The 22348-nt window shown below is 46.1% G+C and overlaps 2 protein-coding genes across 9 annotated transcripts in view, besides 6 other annotated features; both read right to left on the minus strand.

Moving 5' to 3' along the window:
• The window catches only part of RPS6KA2 (ribosomal protein S6 kinase A2), a 453410-nt gene that overhangs the window by 157145 nt on the left and 273917 nt on the right, over positions 1-22348 (minus strand). The window lies entirely within an intron of this gene.
• Positions 5777-6666: an enhancer, noted in NCBI's record as "H3K27ac-H3K4me1 hESC enhancer chr6:166985773-166986662 (GRCh37/hg19 assembly coordinates)". NCBI's record gives its function as "activates a minimal SCP1, AML or CMV promoter by ChIP-STARR-seq in primed H9 embryonic stem cells {active_cell/tissue: H9 hESC(primed)}" and the evidence as "EXISTENCE:reporter gene assay evidence [ECO:0000049][PMID:30033119]".
• Positions 13254-13754: an enhancer, noted in NCBI's record as "H3K27ac hESC enhancer chr6:166993250-166993750 (GRCh37/hg19 assembly coordinates)". NCBI's record gives its function as "activates a minimal SCP1, AML or CMV promoter by ChIP-STARR-seq in primed H9 embryonic stem cells {active_cell/tissue: H9 hESC(primed)}" and the evidence as "EXISTENCE:reporter gene assay evidence [ECO:0000049][PMID:30033119]".
• Positions 13755-14255: an enhancer, noted in NCBI's record as "H3K27ac hESC enhancer chr6:166993751-166994251 (GRCh37/hg19 assembly coordinates)". NCBI's record gives its function as "activates a minimal SCP1, AML or CMV promoter by ChIP-STARR-seq in primed H9 embryonic stem cells {active_cell/tissue: H9 hESC(primed)}" and the evidence as "EXISTENCE:reporter gene assay evidence [ECO:0000049][PMID:30033119]".
• Positions 14336-15156: an enhancer, noted in NCBI's record as "H3K4me1 hESC enhancer chr6:166994332-166995152 (GRCh37/hg19 assembly coordinates)". NCBI's record gives its function as "activates a minimal SCP1, AML or CMV promoter by ChIP-STARR-seq in primed H9 embryonic stem cells {active_cell/tissue: H9 hESC(primed)}" and the evidence as "EXISTENCE:reporter gene assay evidence [ECO:0000049][PMID:30033119]".
• RAMACL (RNA guanine-7 methyltransferase activating subunit like) lies at positions 16501-20170 on the minus strand. The gene has a single exon (NM_001395999.1). It carries the CDS (start codon positions 19967-19969, stop codon positions 19613-19615), a length of 357 nt encoding a protein of 118 aa, NP_001382928.1. The 5' UTR covers positions 19970-20170; the 3' UTR covers positions 16501-19612.
• Positions 20373-20512: a silencer, noted in NCBI's record as "silent region_17778". NCBI's record gives its function as "represses an Ori minimal core promoter by ATAC-STARR-seq in GM12878 lymphoblastoid cells {active_cell/tissue: GM12878}" and the evidence as "EXISTENCE:reporter gene assay evidence [ECO:0000049][PMID:35858748]".
• Positions 22061-22110: an enhancer, noted in NCBI's record as "active region_25437". NCBI's record gives its function as "activates an Ori minimal core promoter by ATAC-STARR-seq in GM12878 lymphoblastoid cells {active_cell/tissue: GM12878}" and the evidence as "EXISTENCE:reporter gene assay evidence [ECO:0000049][PMID:35858748]".

The raw sequence follows: 22348 nt of genomic DNA on the forward strand, positions 1-22348 counted from the left end.
AGGCTCAGGCTTCCAGGCAGCAGAGCTCTGCACAGGTGCAGGGGGTGGCCCTCTCCCAAGCTCCATGCGATGCTATGGTCCCTGGAAGTCCATGCTGGGTCTGCGGAGCCTGTCTTGCACAGGCCCATGGGTCTCTCACACCTCCCCACCCTTGCCTGGAATCTCCCCAAGCCTCTTAAGGGAAGCAATTCTGTCCACTCCTGGCCCTGAGGTCTCTCAGCCAGGAGCTACCCTTGCTAGAGGGGCGGGGATGAGCTCTGAGCCAGTCCCTGACAGCCCCACTCCTGCACCTGACAGGCTCAGGGAAGCTGGGTGATTGGCTGGAGATCACACAGCCCACGCAAAGCTGAAGGTCTCATCTCCCACACTGTTCTGTGCCTGTGGCAGGATCACAGAAAGCAGAGCTGGCAACAGGGATTTTCCCTCGGACACAGTGACTTCCATAAACCCTACATTACATCGTCGCAGGTGCAAATGTGAACTAAAGGAGCTTCTTAGCCCAAAGAGTTGCAAATACGCTGAAAACAGCTTCCAGAATGGGTCACATGAATTAATGGCAAAAAACAATCCATGATGAGCCACTGAGGTAACCCAGGAAGACATCACAAACACAGAGGCCTTCGCTGCCCTTCCGCAGAACACCCTGCTTGCTACCCACAAAAGCACCCTTTAATCGGCCATGAGTCACATCCATGGTGGCAAATCGGATGTTCTTTCCTAAGTGGGATTTGAGAAATCCAAATCCTTGACATGTGCTTGGCCGTGAGCCTGCAGCCCTGCCTGTCCTCCCATGCAGACCACATACTTCGACTCAACCTTGTGATTCACTTTCCACACATCCCTACACACCCATGGTTAATAGGGAGACAGTAACCCAGAGGTTCACGTGAGTCACTAAAAAACCAGAAGGAAAAATGAGTGGCCACGTGAGAGCAGCTGTCAGGGAGGAGCAAACACCCAAAGTTTTGATTAATTTCCCAGGGATCTAATTTAACATAAGAAGTAGACATGGACAGATTAACTATGGGCACATGACAACACATCACGGTACCAGGTTTCTAAGAAAAATGTTTGCCCAGGGGACTAGCTTAAAACAGAGAGTAGTAAATCGGCAGCGGACTGGTTTGCTTATAGCCCAATGTGCATTTCACTGTATCACTGAACTGAGCTGGGGTTTCGAACAGAGCTGGGATTGAGATAAATCACAGCACATGCTCGGCCCTCAGTCTAAACTGGAAAACCTGTTCGGAGGAAACCCATGCCCTTCCCATGGAACGAGCTGAATTACCTAGACCAGCAGGAGACAAGAGGTTCCATCTCTCCCCAGCGATCCGTGCTAAGCTTACGTTTCCCAAGGGCCTGTCAGAAAAATGGATTAGAGAAACCTATTTCCCTCTGAATCTAAAAGCCAGCTCACCTGGGGAAAGAGCACACCACCAAAGTCCAAGGGCACGCCAGTGCAGCCTCTGCGCCTGGCAGCTCCTCCTCCTGGGAAACATCCTGTCTCAGGTCTAGGATGGAAGAGGAAATACCTCCACCGCCAGCCCCAGAATCGGCCCTTGGACATCCTGCTCTCGTAACCAAGAGAAAAGGGGACACTGGATGCCCACCACAGGCCTCAGCTTTCTTGGGGTGACAGGAATCTTTAAGAATTTCATGAAATCTTGGCATTTTCTTCCTGGAAAAACACACACATGCACATCCACATAAAATCTGTCACAGACTGTCTGGAATTCCTGAGACCCATCCACAGAAGCCATGTTAAGAAAGCCTGTTCTCAGAGGACTGCATTAAAAGAAAATTGAATCCAAAATCTATTACTTGGCCAGGCGCGGTGACTCACGCCTATTATCCCAGCACTTTGGGAGGCTTAGGCAGGCGGATCACCTGAGATCAGGAATTCGAGACCAGCCTGGCCAACATGGCAAAACTCTGTCTCTACTAAAGATACAAAAAAAATTAGCCGGTCGTGGTGGCAGGCACCTGTAGTCCCAGCTACTCAGGAGGCTTGAGGCAGGAGAATTGCTTGAACCTGGGAGGCAGAGGTTGCGGAGAGCCGAGATTGCGCCATCGCACTCTAAGCCTGCACAACAAGAGCAAAACTCCATCTCAGAAAAAAAAAAAAAAAAAAAAAAAAAAAAAAAAAAAAAAAAGCAAAATTTTTTACTGGCTACCATGTTTTGGGGCTGAAACACATAAGACTTCGGAGACCCCACTAACCAGGCAGAGCCCTGCCCTGGAGGTGACTGTGCTTGTCCCTGCATAGCTAGTGACCAGCACAGGCCCAAAGCCATCTCTGAATGTATGTGGCATAATTACTGAAACTAGAAAACAAACATGCAAATCACAAGTGCGTTTTGTGCAAATAATGTGATATTTTAAATCAGAAAATCTGGGTATCAATCTAGACTCTGCTTCTTCCTGATTTCATGATTTTGAACAAGTACTTTTTTTTCCTCTTTTACCAAATACTGTAGTTGAAAGTGTATTAAAAATTAAGCTTACATTAATAAACGTATACAAAAGATTATATTCTGGATTTAATAACAAAGAAGGGTATTGGGAAAAAAACAAGTCTGTAAGTAAAAAAATGCAAGTTTACTCTAAGTTAATGGGTACAGACACAAGCATGTCCCGTATAATTATTCCCTTTCCATTGGATTCCTCCCCAAGGACTGGCACAATCTTCAACCCACAGGGGCTGAGACCCCGCAGGGGCCTTGAGACTGGCCCTGGTTTGGCCCATTCTGCTCCTCCCGTCTTCCATGGCGGGTTTTCTTCTGAGCGACCTCTCCACAGGGAGGCACCGAGGGCTGGGCGTCACGTGAGGTTAGCGCTGTTCCTGCCCTGGCCGCTTTCCAAGTGATGTTTACTCCCATTTCATTCGGCTCCCTTGCAGCATCTCAGATGTTTGCATGGTATGTGTCTCTTTCTGTAGAAGAACCTTCTGGGTGGTTTGGGAAAGGCCCTGGCCTGTCATCGGATGCCTCTGCCCTCGCTGGGTCCCTGCTGGGGCCGCCCTGGAAATCTCCAGGCCAGGCATTCTCACCACCCTCTTGCCTTCTCCCTGGACCTGCTCTCATGAGGGGTCTTTCTGGTCACTCCCAGGACTCCTCTATGGGCAGGGGCCACATCGTAGGCTGCTGCACGGACCACAGACAAGGTCACCTTGGGAGCTGTGGACTTCTGTGTCCTTGTGATCCCTCTGGGAACTATACTTACTCTGCACGGTGATTCGGGACAGCAAGGATGGCAGAACACTTCTCAAAGGACACCCCCCTCGGGAATAGGACATCTCCCTGTACTGACTTGGTGCCGATTCCTTGCAAAGCGTCTTCCCCTCGTCCTTCAGGACTGCTGGCCAGCACTGAAACTTACATCCCAATTCTACAGTCCCAGGAGAAAAGCCTCACTCTGTACTTTCAACCCCTGCCATTGCGCTGAGGATCACAAGATTCACAGAAGAGATGTCTTATTTTCACTTTGCAGGTCTTAAAACTCTGAACTAAAGTACTGTCTAGACAATTATCACTTGAAAGAAAGTTCAGCAAGTCACACATATAAATCCAAGGGAGAGGCTGTCCAGTATGAGGGTGACAAAGGGACACGTTCCCACAAAAGAAGCCTACTGAGTACCTGTCACCTCTTGCAGCAACCCCAAGGGTGTAACAGCAACTACGTGGTCTCAGACCCAGGAGCTTCCTGCCATAGCTCCAGACCCTCGGGGAGCAGCACTGAAAAATGGCAGCACCCCGGTATGGAGAAACATGGGCAGTCACCGCCTCCTCAAAGAGAGGCACAAGATGGGTCAGCAATGGGCCCTGGCTCCCCTTCCACTGTCCTGCATGCCCCGAAGCTGTTTCTGACAGCTGCACCCACTCCCCACAGTCAGATGTTAGGGTCACCAATGACAACGCATTGATTTCTGTTTCATGTGTTTCACCTGCAAAAACAAAAACCCTTAAACTTAGGATATAAGAAATTGCCACCAATACTTAAAACTCTTGGACATTTCAGCAAATGAAGTAAGCACAGAAATAGAAATAAGAACTACAAATATAGCTCTAAGGCAGTATGCTTGTATATTCAGCATAAACTAAAATAAATACAGCAGATCTAATAATACAGGGTTTAGATACAAAAAGAAATACACACATAAATTCCATGCTTATAAATCAAAATTAGCATGACAGTGAGTGCCACAGGGAAACCAGACAACATTCAAAGATTTACTCCTAAATATTTAATAGTGAATATTAAAATATTAAAAATAACAACTAAAGGGTATACAGAAAAGCAAAGGGAAACATTACAGAGACACAAAGGTAGATCTGAATAAGTAGACAGGTAGGCTGGGAAGACTGAGTATGTTAATTCTCTTCACTGTAATAGTGTTTAACCCAGTTTAAATCCAAATTTTAAGAGGCCTTTTTAGGAATTTAAAAATGGCAAACTTTTTCTAAACTTTACACGAAATAATAAAGAATAGCATAGGAATTCTGGGAAAATAAAGGCGTGAGAGAGAAGTCGCACTGCCAGATGCTAAACCATGCTGTGAATCTGCACTGTCACAACAGTGCGGTGAGGACGCACCCCAGGACCGATGAGGCCGGCCCCGCATGCCCAGCAGGCCTGGGAGACCGAAGCACTCCACACAGGAAACAGTAAGCGCGGGACCAACCCATAAGGGATACCGGGGAAACTGCCATGAAATTCATCAGGTGAAAAATCGAGTCCTTCTCCAGTTGCCATCAGATACCAAAACATCTTCTATCGGCTTAAGGTTAAACGCTGACACACACAACACAGAGAACTAGAAGAAAGACCAGCAAAGAGGTTGCTGCTTCCCGAACAGCAAAGAACTCACCCTAAAAGCAACAGCAGAAAGACAATGATTTAGCTACACAAAAACGTCTGAACTTTAAAAGCTCGTAAGCAAAATGAAAAAGCCAATGACAAACAGAAAATATTGAGAACCACAAAATAGTGTGTGCTTGGGCGTGTGTGTGCATGAATGCACGCACATGCGCGTTCTAGCACTCCAAAATAAACAGTGGTCAAAGGAATGAAATGCACAGTTACATGGGGGGAAATTTAAAATCCAAGAAATATATTCTTTAAAGTAGTCTCATTAGTAATCAAAGAAATAAAATTAGATAGGTGAGAGACTTTTTTTTTTTTTTGCCTATCTAGTTAATTAAAATGTTGAGAATAAAAATATCTAACATTTGCCACGTTGAGCGTGGTGACGACTTGCTGACAAATGCCAGTGTGAGCGCAGCTTGAACGGCCTCTGGAAAGCAATCTGGTGCATTTGTATCAAAAATCATAATCTTGAAACAACTGACTTCCTTTTTAGAATTTTTGGAAAAAAATCAGAGCCAGGGACAAATACTTCTGTGTAAACGTGCCATGTTGGCATTATTTATAGTGAAGAACAGTGGGGGGAATAAAACCCTTACATCTTCTATATTGTCTTAATAAAGGCAAACAACAGAATATTATATATAAAATAAAATGCATTCATAATATTTAATAACACGAGAACATACACTATAATACTCAGTTTCATTTTAAACACAAAATTCTATGTTCAGAATTTTATTAATTTTATAGCAAAACTCCTACATAGATATAAATTCAAGAAAGAACCAAAATGTCCCCAGATATTAAATATGTGTATCTGAGTGGTGGGATTGATTAGGGATTCTAATTTTCTTTCCAGTTCTCTAATTGGAATATCTGATACAATGTCTTCCATATATTAGCTACCCAATAAATATTGAGAAGAAGAATGAAACGATTTCAAACTTCCAACATAAACATGAACGATTACTAATTCTAAGAAAAGAGTGAAAGCATGTTATAAAACAAACACTAATAAACAGATATTGGTTTAGGAAGGTGGCTGGTGGCCTCTCAGGCTGGCTAAGCCAAGGGATGTTTACTTTTGTCAATTTCTGCAGAAACCACACAAGTGGCTGGTGACGTATTTAGCTCTTTCCTCACAGTAACCCTCCTGAGGACTCTAGGATGATGTTCTCACATAGCTCTCATTGCCGGCTGCTTTCCCTGCCTGTTGCCCTGTGGCAGAGCCCTAGTTATGGGCTTACAGCTCCTCCACGCTCCACTGGTCATATGGCCTGGGGATAGGGGACCAGGGTGGCTGAACCTGGACCAGCAAGGCCCCCTTTCCTCCTGCCTGTGACCCCTCACTGAGGGTCCTTGGGGGACACAAGCAAAGAGGAACATAGCCCACACGGAGCCCGCGTCACTAGCAACGGCACACGTGTCTCTACCCTCATGCAGGGTGTGAGACAGAGCAGCTCCCACGTCCTCTGCTCCCCTTGAATCTGCACGTTCGGGTCTACCCCTGCCTGCTGAAGAAGAAAACAGGGGAAATGCAGGAATGCAGCTCATGAGGTTGGGCCCAGGGAGCCCCTGCGTGGTCAGAGGGAGCGGAGCACAGGAAAGGAAGAGAAAGGAGAGGCTCCTCTGCATGCCCAGCCCCACCCCACACCATGAGGACAGTGTGCCTGGGGTTCCCGGGGTGCCCAGAAGCTCTCGGGAGCCCTCCTTCACTGACAGGAGGGATGGCCCGGTGCAGGGAGGGCAGGAGGGTGAGATCTTTGGTCTGTGGGAAGCCACATCAGATGCAGAAAGTCCATTTCAAAGACAACACTGACCCTGCACAAATCCAGCTCCTCTGCCCTGTCACGAGAAGGGCACTCCATCAGGGCAGGCGCTCACCACCTCTGGTTAGAGCTTCCAGAACCTCGTGTTATGAAGCACATTCAGGGACGGGCAGCACCCTCGTGCAAACTCAGGGAAAACAGAGGGTCCACTGCTGCACCTAGGTTGAAGAGGATGGCAGGGTCTGCAGGGGGATTTTTATCTTTTTCTACGTAAAGGACAGAAGACCCAGCGCACGTGTTCTGATGCAGGAAGACGTACTGCTGTCTATGTAAAGTACAGATCAACAGCAAACCCAGGAATAAATTCCTGCTGAGGAAGGCATCCAGGTGCCTCCCTGCAGAATGTGCCCCTGGGTCAGGCTGCAGCTGACTTTTTACAAAGTGAGCTCGCCACTGCAAAGCCCCATGGGTTTTGTCACACTGACTCTGTGGCTCCGGCCTCACCGGCCTTTGCTGCACTTACTCCCATTGACTGCCAGGGTCGTGACCGTAAACACCGAGGTTCTCTTCCAGAGCCTGGTGGCATAAGCTTGCAGCCTCGAGTCCATTGGCTGCGTGGTGAAACAGTCTGGGAACTTCCCAGTTTTGAAAAAAGTTAGAGATGGAACTTCCCAGTTTTGAAAAAAGTTAGAGAGAACTTTTAAATAGTTAATAGAGCATTCAGAGAGAAGAAAGAGCTCCTCACGCATGTGAAGGTGTGTCAGATGCAGCAAATCCATTTCAAAGGGAACGCCGACCCACAAAGAGCAGCCACGCAGGATCTTTAAAAGGACTCTCAGTCCTAACAGCTCACAATAAACCATCTCTACGCGGTCCACTCAAGACACACTCAGGCCCTGCCGTGGTCATTCTCTCTCTACAGCACACAGAGGGCAATGGCACCACTCCTTGCTCTTATCCTGAGTCCTGGCGTGCTGACCGAGGCCAGGTGCAAGAGGGTTTTTTAATTTTTTAAATTCTTTAAAAAAACATTCTGGATTCAGGAGGTCCATGTGCAGGTTTGTTACGTGGGTCTATTGCATGACGCTGTGGCCTGGGGTATGGGTGGCCCCGTCACCCGGGTACTGAGCACAGTACCCAGTAGGTAGTTTTTAAGTTCACATGCCCCTCCTTCCCTCCTCCCCAGCAGCCCCCAGCGTCTGTTGTTCCCATCTTTATGTCCATGTGTATTCAATGCTGAGCTTCCAGTTTTAAGTGAGAACATGCATTTGGTTTTCTGTCCCTGAATTAATTTGCTTGGGATAATGACCTCCAGCTGCACAGATGTGGCTGCAAAGGACATGATTTCATTCTTTTTATGGCTGTGTAGTATTCTATCACGTATATGTACCACATTTTCTTTGTCCAATCCACCATTAATGAGCACCTAAGTTGATTCCACGTCTGTGCTATTGTGAACGTTGTTGCAGTGAAAATACAAGTGCATGTGTCTTTTTGGTAGAATGATTTATTTTCCTTTGGATATATACCCAGTAATGGAATTGGTGTGGTAGTTCTATTTTAAGTTCTGCAAGAGTATTTTAAATAAAAAGTTATATAAAGATAGGAGTAAGATGGAAACAGGAAACATACAAATGATTGCAGAAAAACCAGGTTAATTCATCAGGTAGCTTGAAAAGCGGGACTTTCTGAAGCAGTAAAATATCTGACTAGGTTCTATATAAATGAAACTTGTATTACCTACAAATAGAGTAGACTTAGTAAGACACCAAGAACCACCAGGAAGAGCTACCAAGGATCTACTTTTGTCAACAGATAAGAATGATTTTAAATGAACAAATCGAGAAAGATGGAACAAATAATTTAAAAATTTCCCTGGTCTGCCCCACTGCTCCCAGATAATTTCAGGTATCTGGCAGAAGAAACTGACTGCCCCAACCATGATAGGCACAGCCACCAACAAAACTAGACATGCAAAACGCCTGGCTCTTTTAACACAGCTTTTGTTTACGAACGCCATACAACTTCTCAGAGCACATTGGAGGAAAGATTTTCAACACATAAAAACTTTGAATAACTACAATGATTCATGTGATTTTTTTGTCTTTGCATTCAAAAGTCAGAAGCATAACACGAGGCTATGTGTGATCCGGGCTCAGGGAGTACGGGGGAGCGCTCAGAAGTGTACGGAGAACTATTTTCAGCGCTGGCTTTTGCTGGAGTCCAGACCTGCCAAATCGAGCACGAGAGGGCACCTTTTGCCAAGATGGAAGCACTATGAAATCCAAGGTTGCTCATTTCCGGTTCATTGTGTTTATCGTGTGAGGCTTTCCAGAAGGGAAAAAAGCCAGCTTCTATTTTAAATGACGATCCACTGATGAGCAGATGGGTTTGGTGTTGCTTTTTGTTTATTCTCTCTACATCTGAAAATATTTCAACATTTTAACTTCACAGAAGTATAATGATTTTTCTTTCCTTTTTTACATGCTTTCATTATTAAACGTTTTACCTCAGGAGAGTTAAGACCTCAGAACAACACCTCCCACTGAGCTGAATGGAAGGACACTAATGGGTCCACTGCCTCTTTATCAATGGGAACCATCTCTCTAAACACAGAATTTCCTCCATGGATTGGTTTGGAAGAATAAAATTTTCAGGTGTAAAGGAGCTCACCAAGATAGCAATCTATTCATTTCACATGAAAAAAAAATTCCAAAGATGAGAATGAATGACTTGAGGTCCCAAATAAAGCAAAATAGGTGATATGGTTTGGTTCTGTGTCCCCACCCAAATCTCATCTTGAATTGTACTCCCATAATTCCCATGTGTTGTAGGAGGGACCTGGTGGGAGATAATTTGAATCATAGAGGTGGTTTCCCCCTTGCTATTCTCGTGATAGTGAGTAAGTCTCAGGAGATGTGATGGGTTTATCAGGGGCTTCTGCCTTTGCTTCTTTCTCATTATCTCTTGCCACCACCATGTAAGAAGTACCTTACACCTCCTGCCATGATTCTGAGGCCTCCCCAGCCATGTGGAACTGTAAGTCCAATTAAACCTCCCTTTCTTCCCAGTCTTGGATATGTCTTTATCAGCAGCATGAAAATGGACTAATACAGTAAATTGGTACCAGTAGAGTAAGGCATTGCTGAAAACATACACGAAAATGTGGAAGTGACTTTGGAACTTGGTAACAGGCAGAGGCTGGAACAGTCTGAAGGGCTCAGAAGAAGACAGGAAAACGTGGGAAAGTTTGGAACTTCCTAGAGACTTGCTGAATGGCTTTGACCAAAATGCTGATAATGACGTAGACAATAAAGTTCAGACTGAGGTGGTCTCAGATGGAGATGAGGAACTTGTTGGGAACTGGAGCAAAGGTGACTCTTACTATGTTTTAGCACAGAGACTGGGCAGCATTTTGCCCCTGCCCTAGAGATTTGTGGAAGTGTGAACTTAAGAGAGATGAGTTCAGGTATCTGGCGGAAGAACTTTCTAAGCAACAAAGCATTCAAGAGGTGACTTGGGTGCTGTTGAAGGCATTCAGTTTTATAAAGGAAGCAAAGCATAAAGGTTCAGAAAATTTGCAGCCTGACAATGTGATAGGAAAGAAAAACCCATTTTCTGAGGGGAAATTCAAGCCGGTTGAGGAAATTTGCATAAGTAATGAGAAGTTGAATGTTAATCCCCGAGACAATGGGGAAAATGTCTCCAGGGCATGTCAGAGGTCTTCATGGCATCCCCTCCCATTGCAGGCCTGGAGGCCTAGGAGAAAATGGTTTCCTGGGCTGGGTCCAGGGTCCCAGAGCTGTGTGCAGCCTAGGGACTTGGTGCCCTGCATCTCAGCCACTCCAGCTGTGACTAAAAGGGGCCAAGGTACAGCTCGGGCTGTTGCTTCAGAGGGTGGAAGCCCTAAGCCTTGGCAGCTTCCATGTGGTGTTGAGCCTGTGAGTGCACAGAAGTCAAGAACTGGGGGTTCTGAAACCACCTAGATTGCAGAAGATGTATGGAAAACGCCTGGATGCCCAGGCAAAAGTTTGCTGCAGGGGCGGGGCCCTCATGGAGAACCTCTGCCAGGGCAGTGCAGAAGGGAAATGTGGGGTTGGAACCCCCACACAGAGTCCTTACTGTGGCACTGCCTGGTGGAGCTGTGAGAAGAAGGCCACCATCCTCCAGACCCCAGAATGGTAGATCCAACGACAGCTTGCACTGTGTGCCTGGAAAAGCCTCAGACACTCAACACCAGCCCATGAAAGCAGCTGAGAAGGAGGCTGTACCCTGCAAAGCCACAGGGGTGGAGCTGCCCAAGACCATGGGAACCCACCTCTTGCATCAGCATGACCCGGAAGTGAGATGTGGAGTCAATGGAGATCATTTTGGAGCTCTAAAGTTTGACTGCCCCACTGGATTTTGGACTTGCATGGGCCCTATAACCCCTTTGTTTTGGCCAATTTCTCCCCTTTGGAACAATAACTGTACCCCCATTGTATCTAGGAAGTAACTAGCTTGCTTTTCATTTTTCAGGCTCATAGATGGAAGGGACTTGCCTTGTCTCAGATGAGACTTTGAACTGTGGACTTTTGGGTTAATGCTGAAATAAGTTAAGACTTTGGGGGACTGCTGTGAAGGCATGATTGGTTTTGAAATGTGAGGACATGAAATTTGGAGGGGCCTGGGCGGAATGATATAGTTTGGTTCTGCATCTCCATCCAAATCTCATCTTGAATTGTACTGCCATAATTCCCTTGTGTTGGGAGAGGGACCTGATGGGAGATAATTTGAATCATGGGGGCAGTTTCCCACATACTGTTCTCATGATAGTGAATATGTCTCAGGAGATCTGATGGGTTTATCAGGGGTTTCCGCTTTTGCTTCTTTCTCATTTTCTCTTGCTGCCACCATATAAGAAATGTTTTTTGCCTCCTGCCATGATTCTGAGGCCTCCCCAGCCATGAGGAACTGTAAGTCCAATTAAACCTCTTTTTCTTCCCAGTCTTGGGGATGTCTTTATCAGGAGCATGAAAACAGACTAATACAACAGGATTGGAACCCAGGTTTCCTGACCCTCAAGATGCTGGGCAACGTGTTCCTTCCCTCAGAAGCCACGTGCCGTAGACTCCTCCATCTGTGCCCTGGACTGGGGGCTGTCCTGCTGCTGCACACCTACATGTACTGTCCTTGAGCTTATAATTGGGTGGCCCTAGGAAGTAGTGGGATAGTAGGAGCAGTTAAGAGGCCTCAATGCTGGAGGTGAACAGGTGGGATTTGGGTCCGGGCATCATTATGTAGGAGCTGGGTGACCAGGGGCAAGCACCTTAGCCCTCCGGCACTTTGCTGTTCACTTTTGCAAAGCAGAGATGAGTGCTTTGGCCTTAGGGCTGTGAAGTTTAACAGTGTTAAATAATGCAGAAGAAAGCAAGCATCCCACAGATACTACTGATGACAATAACACAGCTCTTTCTTTAACAAATGATGGCTTAAAAACTAATCCTGGCCAGCATGCTCCAATCTAGAGAGCGAGGTTTTGTAAACCTGATCCTCAGGTGACAGCAGTGTCTGGACCAGCAGGGCTGCTCACAGGAGTCACCGTGCCAGGATCACTGTGCTGGAGCAGGCCTACTCAATCAGAGTGTCTGGGCTCAGCTCCGAGGTCTTCCACCATGCGCCTCGTGCATTTTCTACACAGAGAAAAGTGTCAATTGGCCCAGGATATTGATGGGATCTGTGCAGAGATATGTGAGGGACAGGAACGTCACAGCTTAGAAACGCAGTTTATGAGATTCTGCATTTAAAACCCACCTTGACTCAACTGCACTCAGAGAGACCAAAAAGCCTCTGCATTCTATATTTCACATTTAGTGAGAAGGCCCAGGTTAGAAGGAAACAGTAAGTCTGATGTCGAGCAGCATGGAAAACGGAGGATCAGTGGATCATGAAAAACAAGCCGGAATGAGAAGGCGTGTCAGTCAAGACAGCCCCGAGCCACCGCCTGGCCGTATCTGCCAAAGGGGTTTGTGATCTTAGACAAGTATCCGTTTATGCTGTTTAGAAAACAATCTATAGTTGTATTCTATTTTCTGCATTCAGCTTTTTTTGAGTGCCATTATGATAAAATGTCATGTTATTATAAAATTTGAAGTTATAATAAAATCCAGGTTGAGATGGGCCCAACAGGTGCGACCTGCATTCTGTACAGAATGCTACAGAATTCTTGGCTGCTCGGGCCCTTCCTGGAGTGGTGCTGGCCTGTCGCCCACAGGCCATCTGGGGAGGAAGAAATGTATGCAAGAATGTCATGCTTCCAGAGGTTTCGGTGGTGGCAATTCTACTGCAATTATTAAAGATACATTGTTACACTGGCTAGTTACAAGTGGGTTATATTTAAACAAAATTTGGAGAAAAATGTTAAATAAAAAATGTTTCCAAGCACAAAATTGTTTTTGGAGAAGATGAACATCCTACGTCACCATGAAACTGGTGTATTCAAGATTCAGGCCATTAGGAAACGCCATGTGTCATGTTACAAGAAGGAAGCAGCCTGTGAAAAGTGTCAACCGCTCCTTTGGCAGAAGAAGACCAGTGTTGTGGTATTTAATGTCGCTAAATTTCACGATTTGACATTTTCTACATTTTCCTTTTTCTAAGATCTAAAGATCACATTATTGAAATTTTATCTCTAAAGAATGGACCTCTTAAATAGTCCTCTTTTATGATTATGCAAATAACTCACATACTGTTTTGAGAAGAAAAAAAAGACAACTAAATAATCTGAGGATAGTTCCTCTGTTATCCCAGCCAAAAAGAATAGGGAATGCATAGTGACAACACCTTCCTAACTGCGACCTTTAGAATCACGGCACTTCATCAAGTTCAGCATTGAACATGCTTAAAGGGCCGTCTTTCTATGACTCAGCCCGGAGGTTCTGGAGTTGTTGCCCCCATCACAGTGGGCTTTGGGCCCCCGGGCCTGCCCCTTGGTTCTAATGATCAGGGAGGTCCTCCCTTATGTGCCCACTGAACTTCCAGTCTCAGGCTGACTCACACAGGACACACTGTGAAAAGCTGGAGAGGAAAGGGCCCAAGTGACACAGTCACCCGATGGCTCTCAGGGACCTGAGGGCCGGCAAAGGTAGAACAGGTGTCCACTAAGCCTGGAGCGTAGCCTCAAACCCACTGTGCCAACACACCCTGACTTCAGCCATAGTCCCGTGCATATCCAAAGGTCTGAAGGAAACTTCAGAGGTGTCCAGTCTTTTGGCTTCCCTGGGCCACCCTGGAAGAAGCAGCATTGTCTTGGGCCACACATAAAATCCGCTAACACTCATGATAGCTGATGAGCTTTAAGAAAAGAAAGGTGAGTGCATAAACCTCATAATGTTTTAAGAAAGTTTACAAATTTGTGTTGGGCGACATTCAAAGCCCCTGGGCCACGGGTTGGACAAGCTTGCTCTGGATTGTACCCAGTCCATGCCTGTCATTGTATGTGATCAAACTAAGCAAAAAGACCTGATTTTCAGTCTACCCCACCCCCAACCCCTGACCCCCTCAGTGGGTCCCCAGTGAGGACGGATGAGACCAGAAGTCCCAATGAGCCCAGTGTGCCTTGTGTCCCTGGGGGAACCAGACCCGATTGGACACGGACTGGATTTTCATGCGTAGGGGGCGGAGGAAAGGGAGGACATTAAATCTTTAAGTGGTTAAAGACACAAAACCCACAGGAATGATTTCTAATGAACAGAAAAAGGGCTGAGGAATTTTTCTTTTCTTTTCTTTTCTTTTTTTGAGACGAAGTCTCATTCTGTTGCCCAGGCTGGAATGCAGTGGCGCAATCTCGGCTCACTGCAACCTCTGCCTCCCAGGTTCAAGCGATTCTCCTGCCTCAGCTTCCCAAGTAGCTGGGACTACAGACACACCACCACGCCCAGCTAATTTTTGTAATTTTTAGTAGATAGGGGTTTTGCCAGGCTGGTCTCGAACTCCTGACCTCAGATGATCTGCCCGCCTCGGCCTCCCAAAGGGCTGGGTTTATAGGCTTGAGCCACTGTGTCTGGCCAGGGCTGAGGAATTTAATATTGCACATACATATTGTCTATGATTCTTTATGTGAAAATCCACTCAAACATCCACTCTGCTTTTGACAGCATCAGCCTTTCTCATGACAAAACCTTCCCCTCAGGGCCTATGCGGAGAATGCCGACAGCACCTGGGCTCCAGCGCCTTCTGGGGCCTAGGCCTCTCTACACCCACCTGGATGCGCAGGTCAAAGTGCTTTGCTTCTCAGGGAGGGAACTGACGCCCCGCTCAGCCCTTCCTTCTCCTACGCTCCACTGTCCTGAGGGACTTGATGTCCAAGTGCTCAGGTGGGTTCGGCATTTTCCACAAACCCAAGGACCAGGCATGGCAGCCTGTTGAGGCCACCGAGAGGCCGGCTTCGAGTATGCGGGGCAGTGGGTGGGTATTTCGCTGTGTCCATTTTCCTTATATTCACTTTCTATTTGAATGACAGAGAATTATACCCAGAAACAGACTAGTTTAGATTTGAAAGCCCTTGGAAATCACCACTTCAAATGAAGACCCACCCTGGGCGAGATGGGGAGGGAACACCCGCTGGGCAGGAGGGCACGGGGAGAGGGCCGGATGGGGTGGAATGCCCACTGGGCAGGTGGGCTGGGCAGGAGGGCACAGGAAGAGGGTGAGATGGGGTGGGACGCCCACTCGGCAGGTGGGCTGGGCAGGAGGGCACGGGGAGAGGGCGGGATGGGGTGGAATGCCCACTGGGCAGGTGGGCTGGGCAGGAGGGCACAGGGAGAGGGTGAGATAGGGTGGGACGCCCACTGGGCAGGTGGGCTGGGCAGGAGGGCACAGGGAGAGGTGAGATGGGGTGGGACGTCCACTGGGCAGGTGGGCTGGGCAGGAGGGCCCAGGGAGAGATGAGATGGGGTGGGACGCCCACTGGGCAGGTGGGCTGGGCAGGAGGGCCCAGGGAGAGGTGAGATGGGGTGGGACGCCCACTGGGCAGGTGGGCTGGGCAGGAGGGCACAGGGAGAGGTGAGATGGGGTGAGATGCCCATGGGCAGGTGGGGTGAGCAGGAGGGCACAGAGAGGGTGAGCACAGTGGCCACTGAAAGCCGCTGAGCCGTCCATGGAGATCTGAACTGTTGAGCTGGCTTCCGGTGGCATGCACTTTTTGAAATAAAGCCTTTTCATTTGACCATGAATGTGTTCAACAAAACCAAACTTCTTGGGAGAGTGAACATGTGTTAAATGACCATATACTAACCCATCACGCTGACTGTTCACAGCTGCTCACCACCATGACCTCATTAGTTGGGCGGAGATGAATATGCAGCCATTTTACGATCACAAATTACATTCCACAACTGAAATGTAGCATGGAGCTCTGAGAGATTTTTCATAAATCACAAGTTTTATAGTATGCAATGAATTTTTATCAAATTCATAACATAGATGCATACATCTTATTTTGGAAAATGAAATGGCATTTATTTTCTCCACAGAAAAAGTGCCAAAAAATGGGCAGTAATAAAATTTCCATTATTCAAGAGGTTAGATATGATTTCCATCTTGACTGAAAAAGCCAGAACGCTTTGAAAGAACTTCTTTTAGGGGTTCTTATGTAAGAATTGCTATTATGCATCCAATGTGCAGAGGAAGAAAAAACAAAACACAAAAAAACCTCTTGAATAATAAAAGCTATGGAATAAAGCAGTATAATAGGTTGGTTTTAAAACTTAAATATTTTTGGTAACTTGATGTGGATAATAATTTGAAGATTTAAGAAAAATAACTCACTATATTTTTTACCTTCCACATTTTCTCCTACTTTAAAATTCACTCACTTTGTCTTGACTTGGTCGTTGACTGCTTTTATTCATAATTCACTTGGGATAAACAGACTTGAAGCATATACACGATAATTATTTCAATATCAATTCTAATAAAGACAAAGCAGTTTGGTAAGTTTTACTCGCATTCGCATACTTTTCAAGGTATCATATTACACATAATTAGATCCTAGAAACAACCAAATTGCTACTTGTGAGCTAAAAGTGCTGAATTCTTGCTTGTTTAGAAAGCACACTGCCTCATCCAAGGCCCTGATGTCCAGCTCACCCTAGGGTCTAGCACTCTGCACCCTGTAGGACTTGCACCAGAGATCACGGCCTTCTTGGGGCAAACCACAGCACTGTCGCTGTGATCTGCGGAAACGGCTCCCTCCACTTTGCCTCCTGTGAGTCTTGGTGATTAAATTGTTGAGCAACTTCAAAGCACAGAGGCGAAAACCAATGGGAAGAAGCAGCTGGTGGTGGAGAGCTTAAGCATCCTGCGCACCTTCTCTGAGCTCTGGCCAGGCCGTGCTGAAACACTGCGGAAGTCATGTCTACACCAGGGTTCCCCACCCACTGTCCAGAGGTGACAAAGGAGAGACGCTCCTGATAAATGTCTTCACGTGACAGTTTGTCATTAAAAACCGAAGCTAAGCCCACTGAATTCCTGAGTGCTTATTAAAGCGCCAATGGCCAAAAGAGACAAGACTCACAAGACTGTGGCTTTCTCCTCTGGATGGCAGAAGACGTATCTCACTTGGCTTGTTTCAGTCCAGGAGGCATCACGCCAAAGGAAGTACTATGCCACAGGAAGAAATGTGCAAACTGGCTGGTTCTCACGTTTTTCTACAGCATTTTACTTCCATGGGTTCTATCTAATGGTAACATAGGTTAGAGCAAAACACAGTCAACACAGTTGCTTTAGCTCAAGTAATTTCATCACCTTACCCCATAGTGATAGTGACCCTCTAAGGGTCAACAAAAAGGCGCATCTTAAAATGTATTTTATAGCTCTGGTAGGCCAGGTGTGCAACGAAACAAGGTTAATAAATTTAAAATGCCTTGGTGTGTTTTGCTCCTTTCTTAGTCTGCCTGAGCTGCCATAACAAAGTACTATGGATTGGGTGGCTTACAAAACAGACATTTATTTCCCATAGTTCTGGAAGCTGGAAGTCCAAGACCAAGGTGCCAGCCATTTGGTCCTGGTGAGGGCCCAATTCCTGGCTCACAGGCAGCTGCTTCTTGCAGCGCCCTTTCGTGGTGGAGCAAGAGCTCTGGTCTCTCTTCCTCTTCCTCTGAGGACACTACTCCCATCGAATCAGGGCCCCAGGCTTAGGACCTCACTTCACCTTCATTACTTCCTTACAGGCCCTTTCTCCACATAGAATCACACTGGGGGTTGGAGCTTCCAAATGTGAACATGGAGGGATACAATTGAGTCCATTAACATTCCATCCCTTATTTGTAGTAACAGCATGACCATACTCAGTGATGACAGGGACACTCTAAATGTCAACATTTACATCTTACAACACTTTTTATAGCTCTATTAGGCCAGTTATGTCATGACATCACAATTAATAAATGAAAAATGCCTGGGCATTCTGGGGATACTCAGCAGCTCTCCAGATGTTAAGGAAACTCAGTATACCCCAATCTGGTCATTTCTATCTGTGATTGTGATCTTTTGCACTTTATTTTATAGTAATTTTAACTGAAATTTTTAACGGAAACAAAGGAGCTACGCTGTCATGCCAAGTTTTCAGTAAATACGTTGAGGAGCTGTGAGCTCAGAAAGCGTTCCAATAGAATTCATTTCTCATGGAGAGACCATGATTGATCTATTTGAAATGCAATATTGGTCCAGAAACTCAGAAACATTTGGTGGAACTCAGGGTTTACAATAACAACATTAGCTAAAGATTCAATCTGGACCTATTTTAAGATCCCGAGGGGGTGGCACATTGGTGTGTCATTCCCAAGATGTCTCAAAACACACAGCAGATTTCTGCTGTAGCAACTAGTGTGAGAAAACCCGAGAGCTTCTTGGTCATCTTTGCACCTCTGAGTGCTGAGCACACGTGTGGTGACGATGTTGCTACAACGATGTGGGGTGCAGGAAGCTCGAGTTTCAAAAGAAGATCATAAGTAACACATTTTTCCTTCTAGCCAGAATGCCCTGAAATACATGAAAAAAGATGCAGCTCTGGCTACGTGAAAAAGAGGTAGTGAGTGACTCGGGGCTGGGAAACGAAGCCGTCCTCGCTGGGATGGACTTTCAGTCTCACATCTTCAGCAACTTTAGCTTCTTCATTATGACTTTTTTTCTCTTGAAGATTAAGGAATCGAGGATTGCTGACATGTCTGTATTGATTAGTTATGGTTCTCCACTATGTTTACTGCCATCCTAATTACAGAACCTAATTTTCACATTTACTTATAATTGTGTGCAATTGTCCAGGCTGATCTTTTAAGGTTAAAGAGAAAATCTCAAACATGACATCAAACAAGTCTTTTTTTTTTTTTTTTTTTTTCCTTATTTTACAGCTTTATTACTGATTTCCCTCTAAAAAGAGACTCAAGTGTGGAGCTGACTCATCTATAGATTAAGGAATCACAAAGTACCATAGTCACTTAACAAATGCAAAAAAAAAAAAAAGCAATTGTTTTACCTTTCAACTGCTGATGTTATGTACAATCTATCACAAAAAGCATAGCTGTGCATTCATGAGCTGATTATATCAACCTCTAGAATTTTAGAAACGAGCACATCTAAGCATATGGATACTCTCTTACCTTACAAAGTAAAAGCATTTTCTATTTTAAAATTTTTATTTCTGTGTAAAACAAAGAATTCCTAGAGGTCAAATAATATACCAAACTTAAAGCACTATTAAGTCATGAAACAAAGAAGATTCTGAGGTAGAAGTCAAGCAATATAATCCACAGTTTCAGGTATTCCCAGCAACCATCGCATTTCGCAAGTAAGATCTATTTTTTTTAAAGTCTCAACTTCCAAAAAATCAATAATCCATTCTGTAAAATCAGATGTAAAACTATGACCAACAGAAGACACCCAAACTTTTCTCATGGTAACAGAGTAAATGCTTTTACTAAAAGCTGCCAACATTTCTATCAGTAGTAACCGTAAGGAGGCCGCTGGTTGTAACCATAATGTCCATATTGCTGGGGATAGTAAGGTTCTTGTCTGTGTTGCGGGTAGTTGTTACCCCAGGATCGTCCATGCCACTGATTGGATCGATTGTCACTTGGCCACCCCCATCTGTTGTCCCTGCCTCTGAACTGTCTGTTGTCTTGCAACCGATTGCCTCTGTTTCTTTGGTTCCCACCAGCTCTGCTATTCCATTCCTCAACAATTGGAGGAGACTCAGGAGGGCGTTTCAGGTATTCCTGATACTCCTTGTCATTTTCTGTGAATCTACTAGCAAACATCTCTTCAAAATTTGGAACAGCTTCGGCAGTGTCAGTCATTCTGAAAATCCCAAAGGTTTGAGGCAGCTGTATTGCTTAATGTTTAGGTTGTTTAAATCCGCCAAGGGCTATGTCTATCCAGCTCAGGCCGAACCCCGCCGGCGAGACACTGAGAAGCCCAGGAGAGGTGGCCTCTGGTCCACTACACCGTGGAACTCCAGACCACTCCAGTTCTCCAATGTAACCGAGCGCCTTCCTCTCCAAACAAGTCTTTTAATAAGGCCCATGAACTAGTCCATATATATACCAGAGGAGGAAAGAAAAAGAATGACCACAGTTTATTCTGAAGACATGACAAAGGTAACACACATCAGTTATACACAAAGTCAAATTTCAGCATTACCTCCAGGGCAGAGGGAGCCAACAGCTTTCAGAAATCTCTGCTCCTGCCATAGACTGGGGCTCCCCTCAGCTGCCTCCCAGTGGGGACTACATTACCCAGCCCTCCTTGCAGGCAGGTGTGGTCATGTGACTAGCCCTGGCCAATGGAGTGTGTCTGGATGGTGTACCTTAAAGAAGCAGGTGCTTCTTTCATAGTCTCTTTCCCCCCACAGCTAACTGCAGGCCCTTAGGGCTGGTGGAGCTACAAAGAAGAAGCCTGGGTCCCCCAAATCCCCATGTGGAAGCAAAGTGGCCAGTCATCAGGAACCCTGACATTAGACTAACACATAAGGAAGAAATAATTTTTCTTTTATGAACTCAGGGAAATATTTTCCTGAAACACAAGAGTGCACAGTCCAGAGACCCTGGGTCAGAGCCCTACAGGCCCAAGAAAGGCTTGGTTGGACACTGGCATGGGACAGAGGGAGGCAAGAAAGATGAGATAAGCACAGACTAGAGATTCGTATCTGCTTTTCATAAGTACAAGAGAAATGTACCATCAAAATCAGTTCTAATCACCGTCACTCTAATTGTGTGGCATCAGACAAGCTCCTCACCCGTCCTTGGCCTCAGTTCCCTCCTATGTAGAATGAGGGGGTCCTACCTGGATTAGTGGTTGTGAGAAATAAATGAACCCACGCATGTAAAACTCCCAGAACAGTACCTGGCATAGAGTGGGTTCTCAAAAATAACACTTTAGTTCTTCCTGAATATCTCATGCAGTGATATAACATCTTTCTTGAACGAGTCTGCCCTTTTTGAAGTCTGCCATTGGAAAAAAAAAAGCAAACCAGCATAAAATAAATATTATATATATATATACACACACAAAAATGTAAAATATATAAGTGGATTCAGAAGTAGAAGATGAAGGGCCCACGTCTCTGAAAAGCCACAGCTGAAGGCGCTGAAACTAGCCGTCTGGCCTCACTAGCACAGTGGGTAGAGTCTGACTTCCTGCTGGCTGCTGTCATTCATGGCAGGACTTTCCGGGACTGTGCGCTCTCTGCCCTGTGGGGAAGAACCCCGAGGAGGTGAGAGTGAGACCCTGCGCCCTCCTCACTCACTCAGGTTCCAGCCACAACAGTGAATTTATTTTGTTTTTTATCTGTTTGGCTTATCACATCTGAATGCAAAATATGCAGCATAAAATGAATGAAAATTGAGACCCCAGTGATGGTTAGAGAATTCTCGTATCATGAACTAAAAGTGAACTTCTTTCCAAGAAACAGGGGACCTTCGTTTTGCTCCCCAATGTACACACTGTGCTGGGGTCTGAAGTAAACAAGGCAGGAGCTCAGCTCCATCCCAGGGCCCTCACCCTCCACTGCTCCCTGAGTGTGGTTTAAAAAGAGGAACAAGGACCTCCACAAAGTCAGCTTCACATTCAGCAGGTGGACAGCAGAATCAAATCTCTGCAAAGAAACAGCCTATGAGTGTGTGCAGCTGCTCACAGGCCTAAATTATAATTTCCAGGTGGGGCCAGCGAGTTGCTGCAGGGGTGGCTTTCTGCAGAAAAAATGAGGGGTGGCTGAACTGGATTCCACAGGCCCTAGCCACACAGAGCATCATGCACCTGAACTGGGGGTCTTAGGGGACTCCTCTTGGGCACACGACATCCCTTTGCTGCCTCCTTTCCACAGGGACCCTGCGCTGGGAACTTGCAGCACGTCGCTGAGACACCAGAATCTGGGGAAATTCTGCCTGTCCCCAACCTCTCGCTCTGGCTGATTTTGCCATCTAATTTGTAGCCTTGCATGTACATAATTCCTATTTGTACAGAAAAACAATCAAAGGTGGAACTAGATCGTCTGATCTCAACTCCAGAATGTGGGCTTTATTGCTGCCCTGTAACCTGGGGCTGCTACTCTGCCCTGATGATGGACACAGGGTTCCCGGAAGCTCAGGGCCCGAAGAGAGTCCAGCTGGGCAGTCGCACATGACAGACAGGGTGCGGCAGCCAATGGCCCTCCGTGCTCACTGTCAACCCGGCCAGCA

Source organism: Homo sapiens, chromosome 6 (genome assembly GCF_000001405.40).
Source record: "Homo sapiens chromosome 6, GRCh38.p14 Primary Assembly".
NCBI classification, from domain to species: Eukaryota; Metazoa; Chordata; class Mammalia; order Primates; family Hominidae; genus Homo; species Homo sapiens.

Bases quoted from the DNA above. Each gene is read 5' to 3' on its own strand.
- RAMACL (NM_001395999.1), bottom strand. From the start codon at position 19,969: ATGACTGACACTGCCGAAGCTGTTCCAAATTTTGAAGAGATGTTTGCT.